Here is a 20457-nt window from a genome sequence, read left to right on the forward strand (position 1 = left end):
TATATTTTTTAGTTTCATTGTATTTGCTTTTATAGTACTTGAAATTTTGACTCTCTATATAAGTTTTTGAAATAAAAATTTTAAAGTCAAATGCCTAGATGCTTACTTTTTCTTTCTTTGGGGAAAGTTTTTTCTGCATCCAAAGTTATTGAGCCTAAAGAACATTTAAAATGTATAAAGGGTTGTTGATTTCCTGAATGACTGGTTCATACAACAGTGAATGGAGCAGAAATGTTTGCTAAAAAATAAGATGCAAGTAATGATGCTTTAAAACTTTAGCAACATAAATCAACAAAACATTCATGGTATTTCGATATTTATTTTTTCTATATGATGTCAGAGTAATGCACCTGCTGTGACATTGCAGAGATCAAATCAAATATAGTTTATAGGTTTGTGTCTTCTTGAAAACTCACTTATATACTAAGAATCAAGGTAATTGGTGCATCCTGAATAAAGTCAGGGGCTTAAATTGCTATACTGAATAAAGATATTCCTAATATTTAAAATTTTTAAATTTTTAGTACAATTTTTGTCTTCTTTTTATGTGGCCACTATCCAGACATGTCAGGGGTGTGTGTGTGTGTGTATGTGTGTGTGTGTGTTTCTTTTGTTTTGTTTTGTTTTGTTTTGTTTTGTTTTGTTTTGTTTTAATTGCTGTTTAGGGATGTGGTTTCTTTTAAGTAGTCAGTTTTCTATTTTTGAAGTTACTGAATTTTCCCTCCTGATCACTGTTCTCAAATGGACTTAGATTCTCTCATATTGAGCAGCTCTTCTTAAGTATAGTTGGTACAAGCATTTTTAAGAATGACAAATCAAGCTCATGCATGAGCTAAAGATGAGGCATAGAGTAAAATTCTATAACTCGATTGCCCTCCTGGTCAGGCTGTAGGATTGAAAGCTATTTACAAAAAAGAAAAAGTTTTGGAGTGCCCACAACAACAATACATATTTTATATATTTCTTACAATGACCAGGCAAGATAGCTTGATTTTTCTATAACTGCACCAAGCATAATATTTGTTTTCTGATCATATCTCATCTCTGAACTGATGGGGGTACAGTGGAAAGAATGAAATCCTGATGCTTATGCTATTTTGCCTAACTTCAGCTTGAAAAAAAGATAGCCTAGGTGTGTAATTTTAGAATAAATCTTGAAGTGTGTTTGTACTTTGTTAATTCCTAGGTGAAAAGGTGTTTGTATCTCTCTATGGAGCTGCCATAGACATGAATATAAGGCTGGATAAGAATTCCTTGACCATCGAGAAAACCTACATATCTCTGGCCAATCAGCGAACTATAACCATTCACAATCGCAGTAATATCATTGCCCATTTCCTGTGGAAGGTATTTGCTACCCAGCAAGAAGAGGACAGAGAAAAATATAGGTCTGTAACAAAAATCACCTATATGCAGTAATTTGGAGGGGGGGAATGTAAAACTCAGTTATTATGAAAAATCAGTGAATTTTGTACTACATTTTTAGCCAACTCAACCAATGTCACATTTTTCTAACTTGGTTCTGGTGTAAGATCCTCTTTTGAAGCTGCTCATTTGAACGATCTGAGCTGAGCTATGTGGAACAGAATGTCCATCCTGAGTTGATGTAACCTGGTTATAGTTTAGCAGTAATGGAATGCCTAGATTTTGAAGACAAAACCTATCATTCTTCACTATTCTTTCAAAACAAGTCTACCTGTCTCTATTACTTTTCATAACCCTAACTAGGTTGATCAGGTTTTTTTTTTGTTTTTTTTTTGTTTTTTTTGTTTTTGAGATGGAGTCTCATACTGTCGCCAGGGCTGGTGTGCAGTGGCGCGATCTCAGCTCACTACAACCTCTGCCTCCTGGGTTCAAGCAATTCTCCTGCCTCAGCCTCCTGAGTAGCTAGGATTACAGGCACCCACCACCACGCCCGGCTAATTTTTTGTACTTTTAGTAGAGACATGGGGTTTCAATATGTTGGCCAGGCTGGTCTCAAGCTCCTTGACCTCATGATCTGCCTGCCTCACCCTCCCAAAGTGTTGGGATTACAAGCGTGAGCCACCATGCCCGGCCAGGTTGATCAGCTTTTATAAAGAGTTCCTAAAAATAATCTATTTTGGATTGGCATCAATGTGGAATTTTTTTCAGTGAAAAGATACTTGTAGAAAATATGAAGATTGAGGAAAAAGAAGGGCTTAGATATAATGGCTTTTATATTCTTGGTTTTAGTAGCATTGCTCCAGTCCCTGCAAGCTATATAAGTTAATAATGATTTCTTATTGGTATCTTTAATATTATGGTTTTAAAAATGGCACTTCAGGCAGTGGAGAAAATTAATAAAATGTAAAACCAAACTGTTGTAGCTAATCTCATCACTGTTAAATTTTGAAGATTTCTTTTTACTGAATCCATGCTTGCCTCTTTTAAGCTCCATTTTCATTTTTATCTCCTTCCAACCTCCCTGAATTAACACTTTTGCTGCTTTCATTGGAATTTATTTCAGCCTTTTTTATTTGCCTTTCCATTTTCATTAAAGATTAGCCCTGAGAAGCTTCAAAGCTTTGTTTAAAACCAAGTTCGTATGTGATAAAAATAAAAGTCTTAGGTCCGTGGAAACCAGGAAGAACCCCCCCAGTGTGCAGTCCCTAATTGAATCAGAAGCCACGACAATGACAGGACACAGTGGGCCAGAAGCTTTGTCATTCAGACAATGAGCTTTAATCACTGAATTGCCACTGTGCCATCTTTTAAAAAATGAGGAAAGAAAAACCACTTATGCCTAAAATCTTCCTCTGGCTTTATGGCATAGAAATATCTGTGGTTTTAAAAGGCACAAGGAAAAGGATCCAGTACTGCTTCCTTTGCCCTGGTTCCCCCAATCACATGTGCTCACCAGCGATCAAAATGGCCCAACATGCTTGAAGGGAAAGTTGGAAAGGAGATCCAAGTAAAGAAAGTAAAATAGCAAAGTAGTGTTTCAGTATCATTCTTGTCCTGTGGGCATAACCCTTTGTGGAGAGTGAGTACCCATTGTAAGAGGGAAAGCCAGCTTTAATTTCAGCCATGTCTGTGTGTTTGGCTATATGGATAATATGTGATTGATGCCATGCCAATACCAAAAACTATGTAAGGACGTTAATTTCAGCAGTTAAACTCTAAAAAAATTTAAACCAATGGTTATCAGAGATGCTAAACTATAGAGAATATAATTCAGCCACAGTGGATGGGCATTGATTTTAGTTTTTTCCCCACTTCACCTCCCCTGACACTCACACCCCTATCTCTTTAATATTGTCTTTTATTCTTCCTTTTCTCTTGCATCATTTTCTTTTACTATCTCCCTTGCTCTTTCTATTATTTCTTCTGGCAACTTCTTTGTAACAAGGGGAAAAATATAGGATAGCATTTTTATAACCATGATTGGAAACCTGATTTTATCATCTAGAATCATGACCCTCTTTTAACTAATAGACTTGAAAAGTGGCTTCAGATAAATAAGAATACTACCACTTTCACTCTGTGTGACATACAGGCCCAGAACCCCTGTTTCTCCAAACTATATTGTTTTATCTCGGTAAAGAGTCTACGACGTGCTGTCCCTTCTCTTCCTCCCACCTCTCTCCTGAGTGCCAGGAGCTTGGCCAAGAGGGAAAAAGGATACCAGTCATGCTGATCTCTTGTTGCACCAGGGTGGCACTTCTTGCTCTTCTCTCCATTGTTCCTCGATACAGCCCAAGCATAATAATAAGAAAGCAAACAACTTTCCTATTATAAGCTGTGAATTCTTGTCCTTGAAGTAACTGTCATGAAATGCCCAACCTCTTGGAAAGGAAGGCAAGTACAGACAAGTTTGCCCTTTACTAAACATTTAACTCCTGCTTTCTGGACAGGGCAGTGGTGCTCTTGCTGTGAGTGTAGGCCCCTCCTCCTCCATGTCACAAATTCTCAGATCGTGTCCGAGGCCACACATCAGGGGTCAAGAAAGCAGAATGTTCTTTGGTAGCTTGCTTATGGGCAGAGACCCGCCCATCCCTGAAAAGCAGCAGCGAGATCTTTAGCGAATGGGGTGAATCCTTTTTTGAGCACCCCAGCAAGGCCTGCAGAGCTGAATCAGGCGTTATTCTCTTGATGTCTCACTCTTTTGCTCATAATGGGGTGCACCTTCTTCCTTTGTTCCCCCTCCTTCAGCAACCTCTATAGTTAAAAGATTTAACTTCTGGTAAACTTTCAGGTCAGACTGAAGAGCCTGTCCACTGTTTTTCTAGCATTTTAACATGGCTTAAAGCATGTCCTGTGGCATTCATCTCCAGGGGCTGAAAGTTGCTCTAAGATCGCTTCAATAATGCTAATAGCTTCAACAGATACACTCAAGTCCCATTCTAGCCATCAAGGTTTCTTGTCCTCTTGTATCTTGATGAGCAAAGACTTGGATATCTCTTCTTGCAGTGGAGGAATTTCAGCCCCAGGAATACCAATTCGTTTCCAGCAGTTTACTGTTTGGCCTTCCTCCACACCTACCTCAAAGTATTGCTAAAAACCTTAGGACACATGTCCAGGTTTGGGGACAGAGGGTTGTTCCCATGCTACACACTTGGGCAATGACATTCCTCCCCGTGGGAAGAAGTTCTGTACTTTAAATTTTTTTTTTTTAACTTGATAATCAGATGTATAGGGACCTTTAAAAGGTCACCTTTATTTCTTTCTTTTGATGTTTTCCTGAGACTTGCAGAGAAATTAATCTCTTCAGAAATGGAGGCTGCATTCATCCCTCCTTGCTTCCTCAACCTTGTCCTGAGGGATTTTAAAACATTCTGCAAGATTCTTTCATGCTCATTCTTATCACGTTCACTGTATTCAGAGACTTGGCATGGGCTTTAAGGATTTTTGCTCCCCATTTCTCCAGCAAGGTCACAGCCGTTTTCTCAATAGCAGCCAGCTCTAATTCTAGATTTGCTCTGTACGAGAGCTCCTACAATTCTCAAAGGAGCCCCTCAGAGTGGTCAGCATGGATTTATTCTATAATATGCAGATGGAGGAAATGACATGTTTCCTTAGATAAATCAGTTTTAATTGGGCTTTGAGCCTACCACCTGTGTCATAATAAACTTAATCTGAGTTATGTTTAGAGGCCCCTTTCCTTCCCTAGGGTTTATACAAAAATCCGAAGATTTACGTGGTACTGCCAAACAGGGAGAGGATCTCTAGTTCTTCATTTGTAACATTGATCACAGAGTTGCTAACTCTTTAGAGTCACATGATCCATTTTCCATTTGAAGGTGGATGGCTCCATTTGTTCCAGGCCAAGTGTGGACATGGGAGTATTTCCTCTAGCTCTCAAGACCATGGCTCTTAGTTTTTAATCTCCTCAGCATTCAGTTGGCACCTCTTGTGGGTGCTGAAGGGAGCAGATTACAGGCCTTGAGTACTTGAAGATGAGGGACTATTACTCATTCAACCCTGCTGCACTGGAGACACACATCTTCCCCATTGACTGTTAAAGGTGTTGGTAGCTACTAGACCATTTGTAAAATGGGTTAAGCCCATGGTTTTACTGAAGAGAGGGCTGGCCTGCTGTTATGCTGTCTGATGAAAGGTCTCCTCATCTATAAAAGAGAACCACCTCTGAGTGCAAGAAACCATGACTATCAACAGGACGAGATGGCAAAACACTAGGACTGAGATCTATGGAAGCCCTTGTTGGAGCCAGGCCACATGAAGTTGTGGCTATACACCTCCTCCTTAGACTCTCAGTCCTGGCTCCAATTCTCCATCAGAGGAAGAATCCAGTACCCTCTCTCCTCCCTTTGCCTTCTACTGGCTGTTACCGATTTGGAGTTTCAACAGCATGGGAGAAGACCAGCGTTTTCGAATTTGTTTTGTTCTCTTTGTTTTCTGGTACAGGGATTGCATTTCTCATACTCCTCAGTCCATGGAGCACTATCATCTTCATCCTCAGTCCACACAAAGCATTTTATTTATTCTCTTACATCCCCACACCCCACTCCTGTTAATTCCCCCAAAGATACCATTCTAATATGTTACTGTGTCTATCTTTTTACATGAATCTGTTCTTTCAAAATGTATATTGTCTTGGGGGAGAGACAGAGAGAAGTCATATTTTGTATTCCATTTTCTCCTTTTTCTCACGAGGTTGTGTGCTTAAGATCCATTCATGTTGCTATGTGTATATCTAATCCATTGCCTCCACCTTCTGCAGACCAGACCACATTGTGTCACCCCACATTCCACCTGTGCACTCTTCCAGGGGTGGCATCCACAGGCTCATGCCAATGCAGGCATGTTAGGCAAAGGCAACCAGGTCAAAATCTTAGTGCCTCAGCCTGAGAATTAATTAACATTTAATTTCTTAAATGACTTGTTTTCTGGTTTAAAAAGAAATACATTGTGCACTAATAAAATTTAGAAAATATTAAGCACAAAGATGAGGGCAAAAATCCATTCTAATCCTTCCAACCAGGGAAACCACAGTCAATATTTTGGTATGTCTAAGTCTGTATTTTTTCCCTAATAAGTATGTATTTTTCTTTTGCTTTTTTATTACAAAAGTGGGATTATTGTATATGTTACATTTTACCACTTTGTTTTTCACCTTAAAACATTTCAGGCATTTGAAAATGATGTTAAATATTCCATTTAATACCACTTTACTGGCTGCTTATTATTCCCTAATATTCCCTGGATTCCTGGGAGGCAGTGTGCATATTGGTTAGCACCAGGGGATTCAAACCTCCAAAGACCCTGAAGTCCAGGCTATCTTTCAGCTATGTGATCTGGGGCGAGTTACTTAACCTTTCTAAGCCTCAGTTTCATCATCTATATAGTGGGAATGATGCTTATAATGCTAATGACCCTTCTGGTAGTTATGAGTGTTAAATTATATGATGCATGTGCAAAGTTTGACAGGTACCCAATAAATGTAATGTTCATGATTCCCATTTTTGTTCAACCAGTGCTTCATTATCTTACATCAAATTTACCCACTTGATCTGGTATCATTCCAGCACTTTAATGGACATCTTTGTAGCTGTGTCTTTGTTTATATCCATGATTGTTTTTAAGGATTTATTCCTGCAAGTGGAATTTTTTGGTTTCTAAGGGTATATAATCTGTAAGTTTTCCAGATCAGTATCAGATAACAAAAATATCAAATAAAAAAGAAATGGATTCCTTTCTTTCTGCAAACTGAGCTGTCTTTAATTTGCCCTGCCGTGCCCAGCAGTGTGGAAGGAATGCTGCCAGTCACCTTGGACACTGCCTCCTACCTGGCAATAAAAATCAAGCACAAGATGCTTTCTTCCTTGGAACCAGAACACACCGAGCCCATTTCTTTGACTTCTTTTTGCAGTGTGTGATCAAAGCACCCTGAACACATATGTTATTTAAAAAGAGTTATTTGACAATACTGACAGGAGTTGGAACTGGGACAGGAATTCAGTGATCCTAGGCTCCCACTCAGCACTTATGTTGCTAAATAATTTGTCTCTCACCCCTGGTAATACCAGTACAATGATGGGAATATGGTCGTATGTCCTGGGAGGAGATAAAATTCAGTCTGCAAAGTTCAGGAGAAATGTGAACATAGCTCTGGTGGGGGCAATGAGTGGATTGGGGAAAGCTGCTGTTCTCTCTTATCACGATGGATATTAAAAGCTAGAAAAAGAGAGAAAAGGAGGTGCCTTAAGGCATAGCTTGAGCATTTTGTAAGCTGACAGCTTGGCGATTGCCTATGGTTGACAGAGGGAGAAAACCGGTATATATGGAGTTGCCAGCTTTGTCCCAGGAACTGCACTAGAGCCTTGATTACATTTAACCCTCAACACATCTTTCTGATGGAGCAGCTCCTATGGTCTCTAGAAGGAGAAGGCACTGAGGCTTAGAGGAATCAGGGAACTGCCAAAGTCACAGAGCTAGTAAACAGATCACAGAATTAGTATGCAAACCTAGTCCCTGCCGGCCCCAGGTTCTATGCTCCAGGTAACTAACAGCTAAGAAAGAATTAAAGCTAAGCAAATTTAAAAGGAACAAAATTGTCCTTGCCATGTGAGGGGCAGAATAGATGTTAAATATTTAAAAAGCAGCCTGGAAAAAACAGGATTACCTGAAAGAAAATATTTGTCCAGATATACATAAGGGCTCAGGAGTAAAGCAATGAGTATTGAATAGGAAAGGAATCCAGGGAGGATCTCTTAAAGAAGGTGGTTGAAGATGAGCAAACAGAGGCTCTGAGAGGTTTGAGGACTGAGTGCAAGGGCAGCAGGTTACAGACTCAGGGCAAGGAGAGACCACCCCAGGGTGGTGGCTGAGGGCATTTCCAGGAGGAGGTACTAGAGGGAAGCCCTTTACAAAGTTCTTCATGGGAGTACCCACATGAATCTCACATTGCCTGTTTTCTTTAGGGCCTGTGATGATCTGATCAAAGAGGAGAAGGATGAGACTGATGAGTTTTTTGAAGAGTGCATTACTGATCCTTTACTCCGAGAACATCTTTCTGTTCTGTCCCGAACCTTTGCGAATCAAAGGAGGCTGGTGCAGGGAGACAGCAAACTGTTCTTCAATAACGTTTTCACTGTGGAGCCCCTGGTGAGCATATAAATAAAAGCTGACCATACAGGAAATGTAAGTGGGAGCACAGGCTTGCTTTGATAAGAGCGCTCACTTGGGGATTGAGACAGTGAGTTGCAAGAGAGTGAAGAGTCCACCTGAAGAAACTCACCATCACTGTGAGACATTATATAGAAGGTAATGGTAAGAATGTCATGGGACACATATATAGGTCACAATTTCCATGCATCAGTCACTGTGTTAACCACTTCCTAAGGATTATGCAGTTCTTCTCATTTGAATATGTATTAGCTTACAAGTGTACAATACAAGATCCCATTAGAATCCCATTCAACAGATGAGGATATTAAGACAGAAATTTTGTGATTTGCTCAAGGCCTAACAGCTGGGGTCAGTGTTTAGAAATCCATCCCTGTTTGGCCTGACTGTACAGCAGGACTTCTCAACCCTGGCACTGTTGACATTTGGGGCTGGGTCATTCTTTGTCCTATACATTGTAGGATGTTTCATGCAAAACATCCTTACTTTTACCCACTAGATGCTAGTGGGACAGCCAAAACTATCTCTGTACACCGCCAAATATGCTCTGTTGGGCAAAATCACCTGGGTTGAGACCTGCTTTGTCTTTCATTCATTCATTGAATACTCATTGACTGCATGGCCTGTATCAGGCACTGTGCGTGTACCAGACATTGATGGACAAAACAGACATGATCCTTGACCTCGTAGTCTTTCTAGTGAGAGCTGTGCCAGAATTAGAATGGGGTCTGTCTGATTCCACAGACTAAACTCTTAAGCACTCTTTCTCCCTACTGCCCCCAAATCAAAGAAATAGCAGCTTTGTTATTTACTGTATGCTAGGTGCTGTGCTACAGGCTTCCTGTGTATTAGCTCACTCCCACCAGGCAGAGAGTGATATGAGGATCAAAACAGCGATAGGAAGGCTGAGGCAGGAGAATGGCGTGAACCCAGGAGACGGAGCTTGCAGTGAGCCGAGATTGCACCATTGTACTCCAGCCTGGGCGACAAAGGAGACTCTATCTCAAAAAACAAAAAACAAAAAACAAACAAAAAAAACAGCAATAGGAGGTGAGGAAGCCTGCAGCTTGTTAGCGCTGCCGAATTGTTGCCATTTAAATCAGATACAGAAGAGACATGGACACGAGGACACTTTAGAATACAAGGTCACTTGTGAGAAATGCCATTGACTTATGCAGGCTCATTTTCCTTCCATCTGCACTTCTAAATTGTTGTTAAAGGATATAACACGGAAAAGGAGCTCCATGGCTAAGTACGTTTGAGAAACGTGAGAGTCAATATTGTTTGAAAGGTTTCTTGGTTATAAGACTTTGGAAAGTCTTTAATATGCTAATGTGTGTTGTTAATCTCCAAGAGGGAGCTTTTCCCTTGGAGACATCCTCTGGGACACAGTTTTCTGGGACCGGCTATGTGAGTCACTGGAGAAGACAGTAAGGTATTCTAGTTCAGAGGCTGAGGTGATTTTCATAGGCAAAGAAGTTGGAGAAGGCTTCTTGAGAGAAGAACCTGGGCCTGAGTCTCACAGGACAGGCCTTTTGGAGAATGAAATTGTCGATGTGCATGGCATGGTTCACCCAAGGCTCTATGAGTAGACTAGTTTCTTGAAGTCAAGGGTTCATGTAGGGAAAGAAGGTTGGAGATGTGTGCCAAGGCTGAGACTTCTGTTATGTCAGAGGACTATCTAGGGCTCAAGTGAGCAAAGGGATCTCCAAATATAATGGGTTAGATCAAGATGAGGACCAAAAGTGAAAATAGGTCAAGCCCAGAGATATGGAAAAGGTCAAGAAGGGATTATTGATTGGTGCATGCAAGCAGGTGGCTGAGCTGGGCTGAGGCAGGGAAGAGCCATCAGTTGTGCTAATCTTAAACATACTGGTAAGGTTCATGCGGTCCAAGACTGTTCCCAGCTGCACTGGACATCCAGGCTGATGACTGCTCCCCCTGGGCAGCCCTGGGACCACAACATGGTGGTCAGGAGGAGGCCAGGGATAATCCATAGGTAAGTCCTGCCCATTTCTATTTCAGAAGTAGGAACACTGGAATTACCTCCAATGAGCTTCTCCTTATGTTTCCTTCCATAACCCACAGTTCAATGAAGGAGATGTATGTATGTTAAAATATGGCATCTAATATGATAGTTTTTGAATTCCAAGTGGGAACTGAATTAAGCATTCTTGTCACGAAGCCTTTTTTTATCCTTAGGAAGAAAAACGTTTTAGTAATACACAGAAATGGTACCAAAATGATAATTTTTAAGCAAATGAGACTAATTTTATTTGTATTGTCGGGGGGGAGGTGATGCCAGAAATAGGCAGAAATATTCACTTCCAATATAAATGGTCTTTATGGAATCTATCATGATTTTGTTTTCCTCCTGTGCTATTTAGTCTTTCTTTTCATAATAGTATTCATTAGCTGGTTGACAATTTTTGCAAAGTGAAAATGAAAGCATGAAACTTTCCTAGTTTTCCCAAAGTTATTCTGGTCAAAACAGCAGAACTCAGTATCAGTTATAATGAATTCTTTATTTATGTTAAATCTCCTTACTTAAAAACTATAGTTCCTGAAAGTTTTATATAAATACAGTTCTCGTTTGTGAAAGTACTATAATCTTACCTTATACATTACTTTTAAAGGTATTTAATGGGAAAATTCTACTATTTCACAGACTTCTTGGCACAAATGCAAACCAAGGGTGCTTTTTACTGTTGAAATTTTGGTTTTCTGATTCAGGTAAATAAATGCTACAGTAGTCTCAGATGAGTGAGTTGGGAAAGGATTTTTAGAAGAAATGCGATCTGAACTGAAGATTGGAGGAAGGGTAAGATTTAATTAAGTGGAAAAGGAGACAGAGAATGTTTCCAATTGGGAAAATTACAAAAGCAAAGAAACATATCCGAGGCAATTCCGTTCTTCCTGCTTCTGAAATAGAAATGGGCAGGACTCACTAGTGGCCTACCCCCAGCCCCCTCCTGACTGCCATGTTGTGGTCCCAGGGCCACCCATCCTCAGGAGGAGCAGTCATCAGCCTCGATCTCCACTGCAGCTGGGAAGAGACTTGGACCATGTGGACCTTACCAGTACATCTAAGATTACCACGACTGACAGCTCTTCCCTGCCTCAGCCCAGCTCAGCCACCTGGCTGCGTGCACCAATGATTCCTTCCTGACCTTTCCATGTCTCTGGTCTTGACCTATTTACATTTTTGGTCCTCATCTTGATCTAACCCATTGTATGTGGAGATCCCTTTGCTCACTTGAGCCCTGGATAGTCCTCTGACGTGACAGAAGTTTCAGCCTCGACACGCATCTCCAACCTCCTTTCCCTACATGAACACTTGACTTCAAGCAATGTTGGAGAATGTTTCCAATTGGGAAAATTACAAAAACAGACCATTAGGGAAGGAGCTACCTGACCAACCTACTGTGCTTTAGACTGCAGGCTGCCATCTCCCACCGTGCTTTTGCAGAAACACTGGATCTAGGGGGTGGTCATGTGCGTTCCTTGCAAAGAGGGAGTTCTGTGGTCAAATAAGCTTAAGAAATACTGGTTCAAGAGAAGGTGACTCTCCAAGCAATGGAGTGCAAGCAGCATTTCCCTATGACCACAGACTCCCCCTCCACAGAGCATCCACTGGGGTCCATGTTCTGTGGAACGTGGACACAGACAGAGGGTGAGATGGGTGGTGCAGGTCAGATAGTGGAAATGCCCAGTGCAGGAAGGGTCAGAGAGACTGACCATCTCTGCAGGCAAGGTTGGGTGATGCATGAGGGTGCTGCTGACCTGGAACAGCCCAGGGGTGGTCAGAAAGGAAGGAAATGGCAGAAATCCGAGATGTTCAAAAGAAAGACACTAAAGTGCTTTTTGATCAACTGGCTGTTGATGGTGAGGTGAGACATTGTGAGGAATTTCATTTGTGTTTCTCCAAAGCTGTGCTGAAGATATTGGGAGAATTATGATGTCTTTGATAGAAAGGAGCAAGTCAGGAGTCCTCAGTTTAACTGCTAGCTTTGCCAATAGCAATATAAGCTTAAACAAGCCATTTGATCTTCCTTGGCTTCAGTTGCCTTGTACACAAACAGGGTATTGCAGTTAAGTCACATTGATCCTTTTTGATCTACAAATTCTGACTCTCCAATTTAGGATCAGACTCTGAGCTTCTTGAGGTCAGGGAGGTCCTTATCCTCATTTGTGGCCAGTGCTAATAAACGAATGAATGAATGAACAAATTTAAATCAATAAATGATGATGAGTTTGGCTCTGAACATGTTGAATTTGAGATGACTATAGATATCCAAAAAATTTGGCAAATGCAGGACTAAAATTTGTGGGAGGGGATTCAGGACTGGAAGCAAGATTTGTGAGTGTGCTGTGGAGATCTTCACTGAAGCCATGAAAAGCAGGTGAAAACTCTTAAGAGCAGAGCGAACAGGAAATTGCAGAGGGCTGAAGAGGGCCTCCAGGCCCTCACATTTAAAGGCTCTGCAGAGAGAGGAGAGGCTGTGACTTCACAGAGAAGGCATCAGGAGGCGCGCTGGCCAGCTGACAGCCTGTCATGGCTTACACATTTGTCTACACCTACCATGCATCATTCAGCACCATTTGCTTCTGAAGGTCTCTTCTGAATCTTGCTCACTCTCAGGTCAGTTGTGCCAAGTGGCTACTACTTAATTTCTGAGAGTGGACCTATGCATCGGTGATTGGTTATTTCTTAGGGTGTGATTCATTTTAATTAGCTTGTTGATATGAGTTGAGTTCACAGTAGAAGCAGAGGAGATTGGAACCAAGCAGTGTTTCCTGCTAATCTAATAATCAATCTCTAATTGATACTCTGCTCAAAAAGTAAAAAGAAAAGAAAAGGGTGATGAAGAGGCTTAGAGACCACCTTGCTTTCTGATGGACTCTTCAGCTCCTGACCACTGAGGAAAGACATTGTGTTCAAATGAGTTAAACTTAAAAAGAAAAACTAAAACTATTACCTCAAGGTCTGGAAAGAAATAAGAAACAGGCTTATTTTCTCAGACCTATATCTATCTATCTCACATCTTCAAATGCATCAGAGAAAACAAAAGGTTAGTTTAGTCCTGGTTGTGTTCCCTGCATATCAAGTATTTTATGGAAGCATTGTTCCTGTTTCAGAGGCTCTTTCAATTTAAAGCAAGGAGATTCAAGATCAAGAGATTAGACCCTGTCCCTAAGTTGCCAAGAGGCGATGATTGGTTTGAATTTAAATGAAATCTTGTGAATAGTATCATGTGAAAAGCAGTTTGACTCAATACTATAAGAACGACAGACTCAAAACTCTAGAACTGCAAGTCCTTCCTCTGTCTTACCACCTGCCAACCATGTGGCTGCAGGTTGTGTCCCTTCCGTCACCTTCTCATCATGCTCATCATTTAACAAGGCTGTAGGGTCCATTGCTCAAGCCTTGAGGAGTTAGTCTTGGGCATCCTGGGCATTGATGTCACTGCACAGTACCAGGGCTGCTTGGTTCCCTCTCTTCCTTGTGATCGAACAGACGGAGGCTGGTAGCTGCTCCAGGGCTCAGAGGTGGGAGTTTGTCTTTTGAGAGACCCCAGAGGTGTTCATTGGTGGAGAAAGGGAGTAATGACCCAGAGAATATTAATCTGTTCTCACGCTGGTGATAAAGACACATCTGAGACTGGGTAATTTAGAAAGGAAAGAGGTTGAATGGACTCACAGTTCCATGTGGCTGGGGAGGCCTCATAATCATGGCAGAAGGTGAAAGGCATTTCTTACATGGTGGCAGACAAGAAAGAATGAGAACCAAGTGAAAGGGGTTTCCCATTATAAAACCATCAGATCTCATGAGACTTATTCACTACCATGAGAACAGTATGGGGGAAACCACCCCTGTGATTCAATTATCTCCCACCAGGTCCCTCCCACAACATGTGGTAATTATGGGAGCACAATTCAAGTTGAGATTTGGGTGGGGACACAGCCAAACCATATCACAGAGTGACCACAGGCAGAAGACAGTCCAGTACAGAGGGCTGGGAGGAATTTTTAAAAATCTTTACTTGATAGTTTATTTATATTGTTGAAGCATCCGAAGAATTGTTTTTCTAGTCATTAAAGCATGGGATGTGTTATCATTGTTTCTGTCAAGTTTTTCATTAGCCTAAATTTTTCCATTTGTTCCTTACCTAGGGAAGGTACTGGGTTCTGTAGAATACTGATAATTCTCAAGCCACCTATTTCCATATGGGTTTTTTTCCCCTTTGGAAAAGAACTGCCAAGTTGAAGTTCTGTTATGCATGTTTTGTGCCTTCCAGAAAATCAAGTGTAATTGGCTACTTTCAGAAATATAATATCCTATTTGTATTGGATGGACTCTGGCTTTACAGAATGTTGACAGTCTCATTCTGTTATTTTCTCTGCTTGGGTCTCTTGGGTACCCTGAGAGGGAGAGATTCAAAGATAAAAAACAGTCCTGAGAATTGAAAAGCCGAGAGTATCATAGGGCAGAAAGAGAGAATCAAGCTTTTGCTTTCCATGGGCATCGAGGAGTCATTTGAGGAATGGCAGCACAAATGTGCTGGCCTTGTATCTGAACCCTGATGCTGCTGGCTGAGGTCACGCTTTGAAGATGCAGCAATTTTCTGAATACTGAACCCTTGATATTTTCCCAAAAAGAAAGGTCTGAGAATTTAAAGGTATTTACCTAAACTGCTCCTAGCTGATTGACGGACATCAGCGAGCAGGGGAACATTTCTGCTTCTATTAGCAAGTGTCTCCTCGATCAAAGAAAACTTCATTTGGTATCCCTAGGGAAGCTTAAGCTTAATTTAACTAAGCCTTAAAAAGAGAGAGAAACCTGCTAATTTCTTTATTACCATATAAGTAATAGTAAACCATGCTTTGTCGTCATCTAAGCCTGCAGAAAACGTGCTGTTCCAGCAATTCAGACTTTGAGAGCACAGCTCAAATTTAGTTTACTTTATTTTTCCCAAGCGGGCATAGCATGTGAGCTCAGCAGAACCAGGTTGGGTGGAAGTCCAGATGGCTAGCAGAGAAGAAAGACCCAGCTTTTCACTACACACTCCTTCCACTTCTCCTACCATTATAGCCTTGAGTCACATTGCAAACATGTGGAAGCTGACTCTTTGGAAATGGAAGCCAGAAAGGAGAAAGAAGGACAGGAATCTGCTGAGAGCAAACTGGCCTTGACAAGTCACAGCTTCTCCATCAGTGTGGTTTTCCCACTCCTCAGCCTTTGTTTATCAGGATCATCCTTTCGGATCCTTGTGCTCAGCGACACTTTTTCCAATTGTTTGGTACATTCGCTGTTGTATTGGAGAACCAGTATAGGTGGCAGGAGGCCTGGGGAAGCCTTAGAAACAGCATGGTTCCTCGGGGCTCATTAAATAACTTAACAACCTTCCCTGCTAGACAAGACACAGTTCTGTTCTCTCCAGAGAAAGGCATGAACATCACACACAACTACCTCCGCCCTATAGAACCTCTGTGCACTTTTCACTGTATTTGGGTTGGAGGTGAGATCAAGATAGAATACTCCTTTTGTGAAGCTTCCTCTGACAGAAGGTGAAATCTTAGAGCCCTCTCTTAGAAACTTTTATGGTCATTATTTTGAGAATCATAACTTAACTTGATTCATAGTTTCTTGTCCCAGGAAAATAATGAAGCAGAAAAATCTCTTTGCATGTCATGTGTCAATTTGAACTTTTCTGTCAGTGATAACTAAGATGGTTTGGCTTCAGTTTTTTAGCTTCTATTTTTCTGTTCCTCTTTGAGACAACTGCTGTTTGCCCTGGGTGACGTTATAGAGAGCCATGATTTCTCTTATTGATCTGGAAGGATCTAGACGAGCAGTTGTGGGTAATGAAACGGATTATAGCTTCTATAATCTATGGGTTTTTTTGCTTATTCTTTGATAGAAATGTGGCTTTTAGAGCATGTTTTCATTTCCCAAGAGAAATTCTTTATGTTGATATTTTTCTAATATTTTAAGGAAAACTATAAGATAGCTGAAAATATTTGTTTATGTGGTGAAGAGCATTTCCATTTGGGTGAAACATGGTAGAATTCATCACCTATTATAGTTACTCTTGACATCATTATTCACCCCCGCTGCTGTGAGCTGACTGGACCCTGACCTTCACCACACCAGGATAGCTTGATACAGATCCACCATGCATTTCTCAAGAGCTGCAATGTACTAATGTTGACTTTGTCATCCAAAGGAACCTCCCATGAGTCACCTTCCAGAAGTAACTGGAAGGATACAAGCATGCAGGGGGCCGTGCTATGTTTTCCAGACAGGAACACCAGGTCTCACGAAGCCTGCTTGAGTTGTAGTATTTTTCAACTTCTTCTGGCCTTTTTTATGATATTGTGAAGAAGTTGAGGCCTGACTCTTTTTATAATTGCAGTGGGTTTAGAGAAGTCAGGGAAAAAATTATTACAGAATCTTAGCTCTGCTACTTAAACTATTGGTCTGGCTTTGGGTAAGATACTTCTTTTTGCCTTGATTTTCTCATCTTTAAAGTAATAATACTACTTCACAAGGTGGTAGTGATTGAACTAGTTAATGTGTATAAGCACTTTACACAGTGTGGAACATGAGCTCTCAGTGGGTGGTTACGTATATTATGATTTGTAGTTAAATACATTTGTCTTGTCAGATTAGAGAGTATGATTGGAAAGCATAGCATTTGAGTGGGCAAACGTGGATCATTCTTCTAAATGTAAGTTGGGAACTAGAACATAACCATTTTATTTGATAAATGTAAAAGTTGAGTCGTAAACTACTTTTTAGATAAACCAGGAAAATTACATATGTATATAAATCTCTGTTCTTGCACTTTGGTTTTTTTTTTGGGAGGGGGGCAAGATTTGTAAGAAATAATCTTTCAAGGAAGGAAGGAAGGGAGAAACGAAGGAAAGGAGGTAGAGGGGTAATAGAGGGGAAGGAAGACAATTTTTTAAAAAGATGTTTAAGGATTTTCAAGGGAGTTTTTTTTAAAGATCCCCTGTAAGTATTGCTGATATAATTTTTAAAAGGTGAACACTTTTAAATGACACCTTTCTCATGATCATATTTATCATCTATCACAAACCAGTGGCTGTTTGTTCATAGACAGCTTTCAGAAAGTCTCAGAACTGTGGCCATCGAGTCACTTGGTTGTTTATTCTTGTTCCAGAAGGAAGCATGAAACTCCGTGTCCAGAGATATTTAATAATTTGGGCAAAAATCGCAATATGGGAATTAGCTTTAGGCTTGAAAATTTAAAGTTGATTTTTTTCTAGTAGGTCACTTTATTAATAAGTAAAATGCAATTACTTTACTCATTGCGAATCTGAAAGAAAACATTAAGACCAAGAAGGAAGATAATTACAGTATAACTGAAGGCCATTTTGACAATTCTTTTCAACAAAGAAGGTCATAGTCACTTACAGATTCAATCCTATGTACTCAACCTCTCATTTGGAGCAGGAAAATGGGCAGTCATGGGAGGGGGGTCACATGTAGAAGGCTCGCAGAATGGGGGACGCGGATCCGTGTGATGAGGCAGGTTTTGTAGAACTGGGAAGAAGGGATATTGATGTCAGAGCCAGGAAGGAAATTTCTGGATGTTTTGATTTTCAGAAATGTTAGAACTGAGTAATAAAGAAAGAAAGTTTTTTTTGCAGAGACATAAATGACATGGAATTTAATTTCAGAAGTGTTAAAGAAGTCATATGAAATCTTTCAAAGACGTGAAACTGGAAGTGGGGTCTAAAGTTGAGGCTTGTTACCTATTTCTGAGGTTTGCTCTCCCATTTGATAGAAAATGCTATATTGAGTTTTTGCTATAAGGAAATAGAAGTTCTTTCTCTTTTACTTAAATCCCAACTGAAAAGTAGAAATATCCTGCATGTTCCTAACTCCTTCAAATGAAATCACATTGAAAGCATCCTTCTGTGAGAGGAAACTGAATGAGCACGCTGTTTTCAGGTACACACAACCGTCTTAATACACGGTACCTGCTCCAAGCCCAGGAGAGGAGTTTAGAATAAATAGGGTTTGTCCTTCCTTTATCTCTCGGGCTCAGTGAAGGCTGCAAGTTACAAGTGGATGTCACAGGCAGAGTAAGACAGCTGCAGCCCACAATAAGTAAGCACTGAGCCCACAGCTCCATTTGCTCAGTCTGAACCCTGTCGATTCGGATTTCTTTGTGCTGGTCTTCTCACCAAGCAGAAAGGCTTCTCCATCTCCCAGGAGCCTCCACATCAGATGATCTCTCACTGATGGCTTCCGAATGTCAACGCTTCCTCCTCTGGAGAGATTCCAGTCACCTCTCTGGAGTGTGTCTACCACCACTCACTCCCATCCCTCCAGTTGTGCTAATCAGACCTCTTTGATGATGGCAGTCCAAGAGTGTTCTAAGAGAAACTGAAGTGTGTTACCCTCTTCTGCACATGGACCCTGGATTGCTGGGATCATACTTTTGAAAGCATTCCTGGTCCACTTCAAACCATAAGACCCTGACTTGCCCACATGCACTGAGTTTATGTGATTTCCAGTGGGGGCCACTTCCTACAGTTCTGGTGAGACTTCTCTAGCCTGGGTTCTCTCAGGATCTAAGATAGCCCCTGGCCCTTTGGTCATTCCATTTGTGTAGGAGCAGGTTAGCGGTGTCCATTCTGTTTACCCAAACACAGCAGAGTATTAACCCACCAAAGGAATATGTTTGTGTCATGGGTGAGTAAGAAGCCCAGGATTTCAGTAGTCCTGAGATGAGATAACTACTGATACACCACTGATTGGCTGAGCTGCCTCATCTGCCTGGCCTTGCCAGTTGAGTCTAGCCATGAGTGTTTCTAACACTGCATATCACTAAAACCCCCACCAATCAAAAGGGGCCAGATATTTATCATTTATCAGAAGAAAACAGATACTTATTTCAAGATTGGAAAGGTGCCACAGTGAAATGCCTAAATACATCAAAGTGCTTAGGACTTCTCTGTTCCTCATATGCTCTCATAGGTCTCTTTTGGCTCTACAGTTGTGTGACTTTTGAGGTTCTGGATGAAGAGAAAATAGTAGAAGTAGGTTGCAGAGATGAATAGGTGTCTGCTACTGACTACACAGTGTGCAAACTGAGTAGATATTGCAGATTCAACAAATATTTATTGAGCACCTACTAAGAGCCATGAAGATTGAAGCTTCCCTGAGGGTAGTTGCTGTTCTGCCCCTACCCAAACCAGGGATGGCTTACTCTGGTTTGGGTGGGGGTAGAACGGCAGCTACCCTTATGGAGCCTTCATTCTCACAGGCTGATCTGGGGATGTGAGATCTAAAGGAAACTAGGATGTATACGACATTTTAAAATGTACATTGAGTGACTATTCACTGTCTGCCCAATGCATTCCCAGTACCAGGGCTTCAGAGAAGCAGAAAGGTGTGGGCCGTGACTGCAGAGAACTCATACCTTAGTGGGATGATAAACATATATACAAACATTTTACAGTAAGTGCTGTGTCTATATAAATACAGCCCAGAGGGGTCACAGAGGAAGAAGTACTTGACTTCCTTGGTGGAGGCACCACGTTTCTAACTTTTGAGGTGACAGCATAAGGAAACACTCTTACTCTACAAAAACAGAGCAATGGCCCGAGGTATCATACCTGCATAATATTTACAGCCCTCTCTGCTCCCCCTTAAGCCCTTGTGCCTCCTTCATTCTGAAGTTAGGAAAGACACTGCCTGCAAAGTATACTGATAAGACTGATTGTGTTAATTAATAAACCCAAATTGGCTCTAGATTTTTATTTTCTCCCTCTTGTTTGATATCTGCATTTTTAAACCATTTTGTTCTTTTT

At 41.0% G+C, this 20457-nt stretch overlaps 1 pseudogene across 1 annotated transcript in view; it reads left to right on the top strand.

Annotated features, from left to right (window-relative positions):
- The window catches only part of HYDIN2 (HYDIN axonemal central pair apparatus protein 2 (pseudogene)), a 335703-nt pseudogene that overhangs the window by 86315 nt on the left and 228931 nt on the right, over positions 1 to 20457 (top strand). The window contains exons 13-14 of the transcript NR_103556.2: positions 1187 to 1388; positions 8403 to 8586. The product of NR_103556.2 is annotated as an HYDIN axonemal central pair apparatus protein 2 (pseudogene) (transcript). The remainder of the gene's footprint in view (positions 1 to 1186; positions 1389 to 8402; positions 8587 to 20457) is intronic.

The sequence above is a fragment of the Homo sapiens genome, chromosome 1 (genome assembly GCF_000001405.40).
Source record: "Homo sapiens chromosome 1, GRCh38.p14 Primary Assembly".
Classification (NCBI taxonomy): domain Eukaryota; kingdom Metazoa; phylum Chordata; class Mammalia; order Primates; family Hominidae; genus Homo; species Homo sapiens.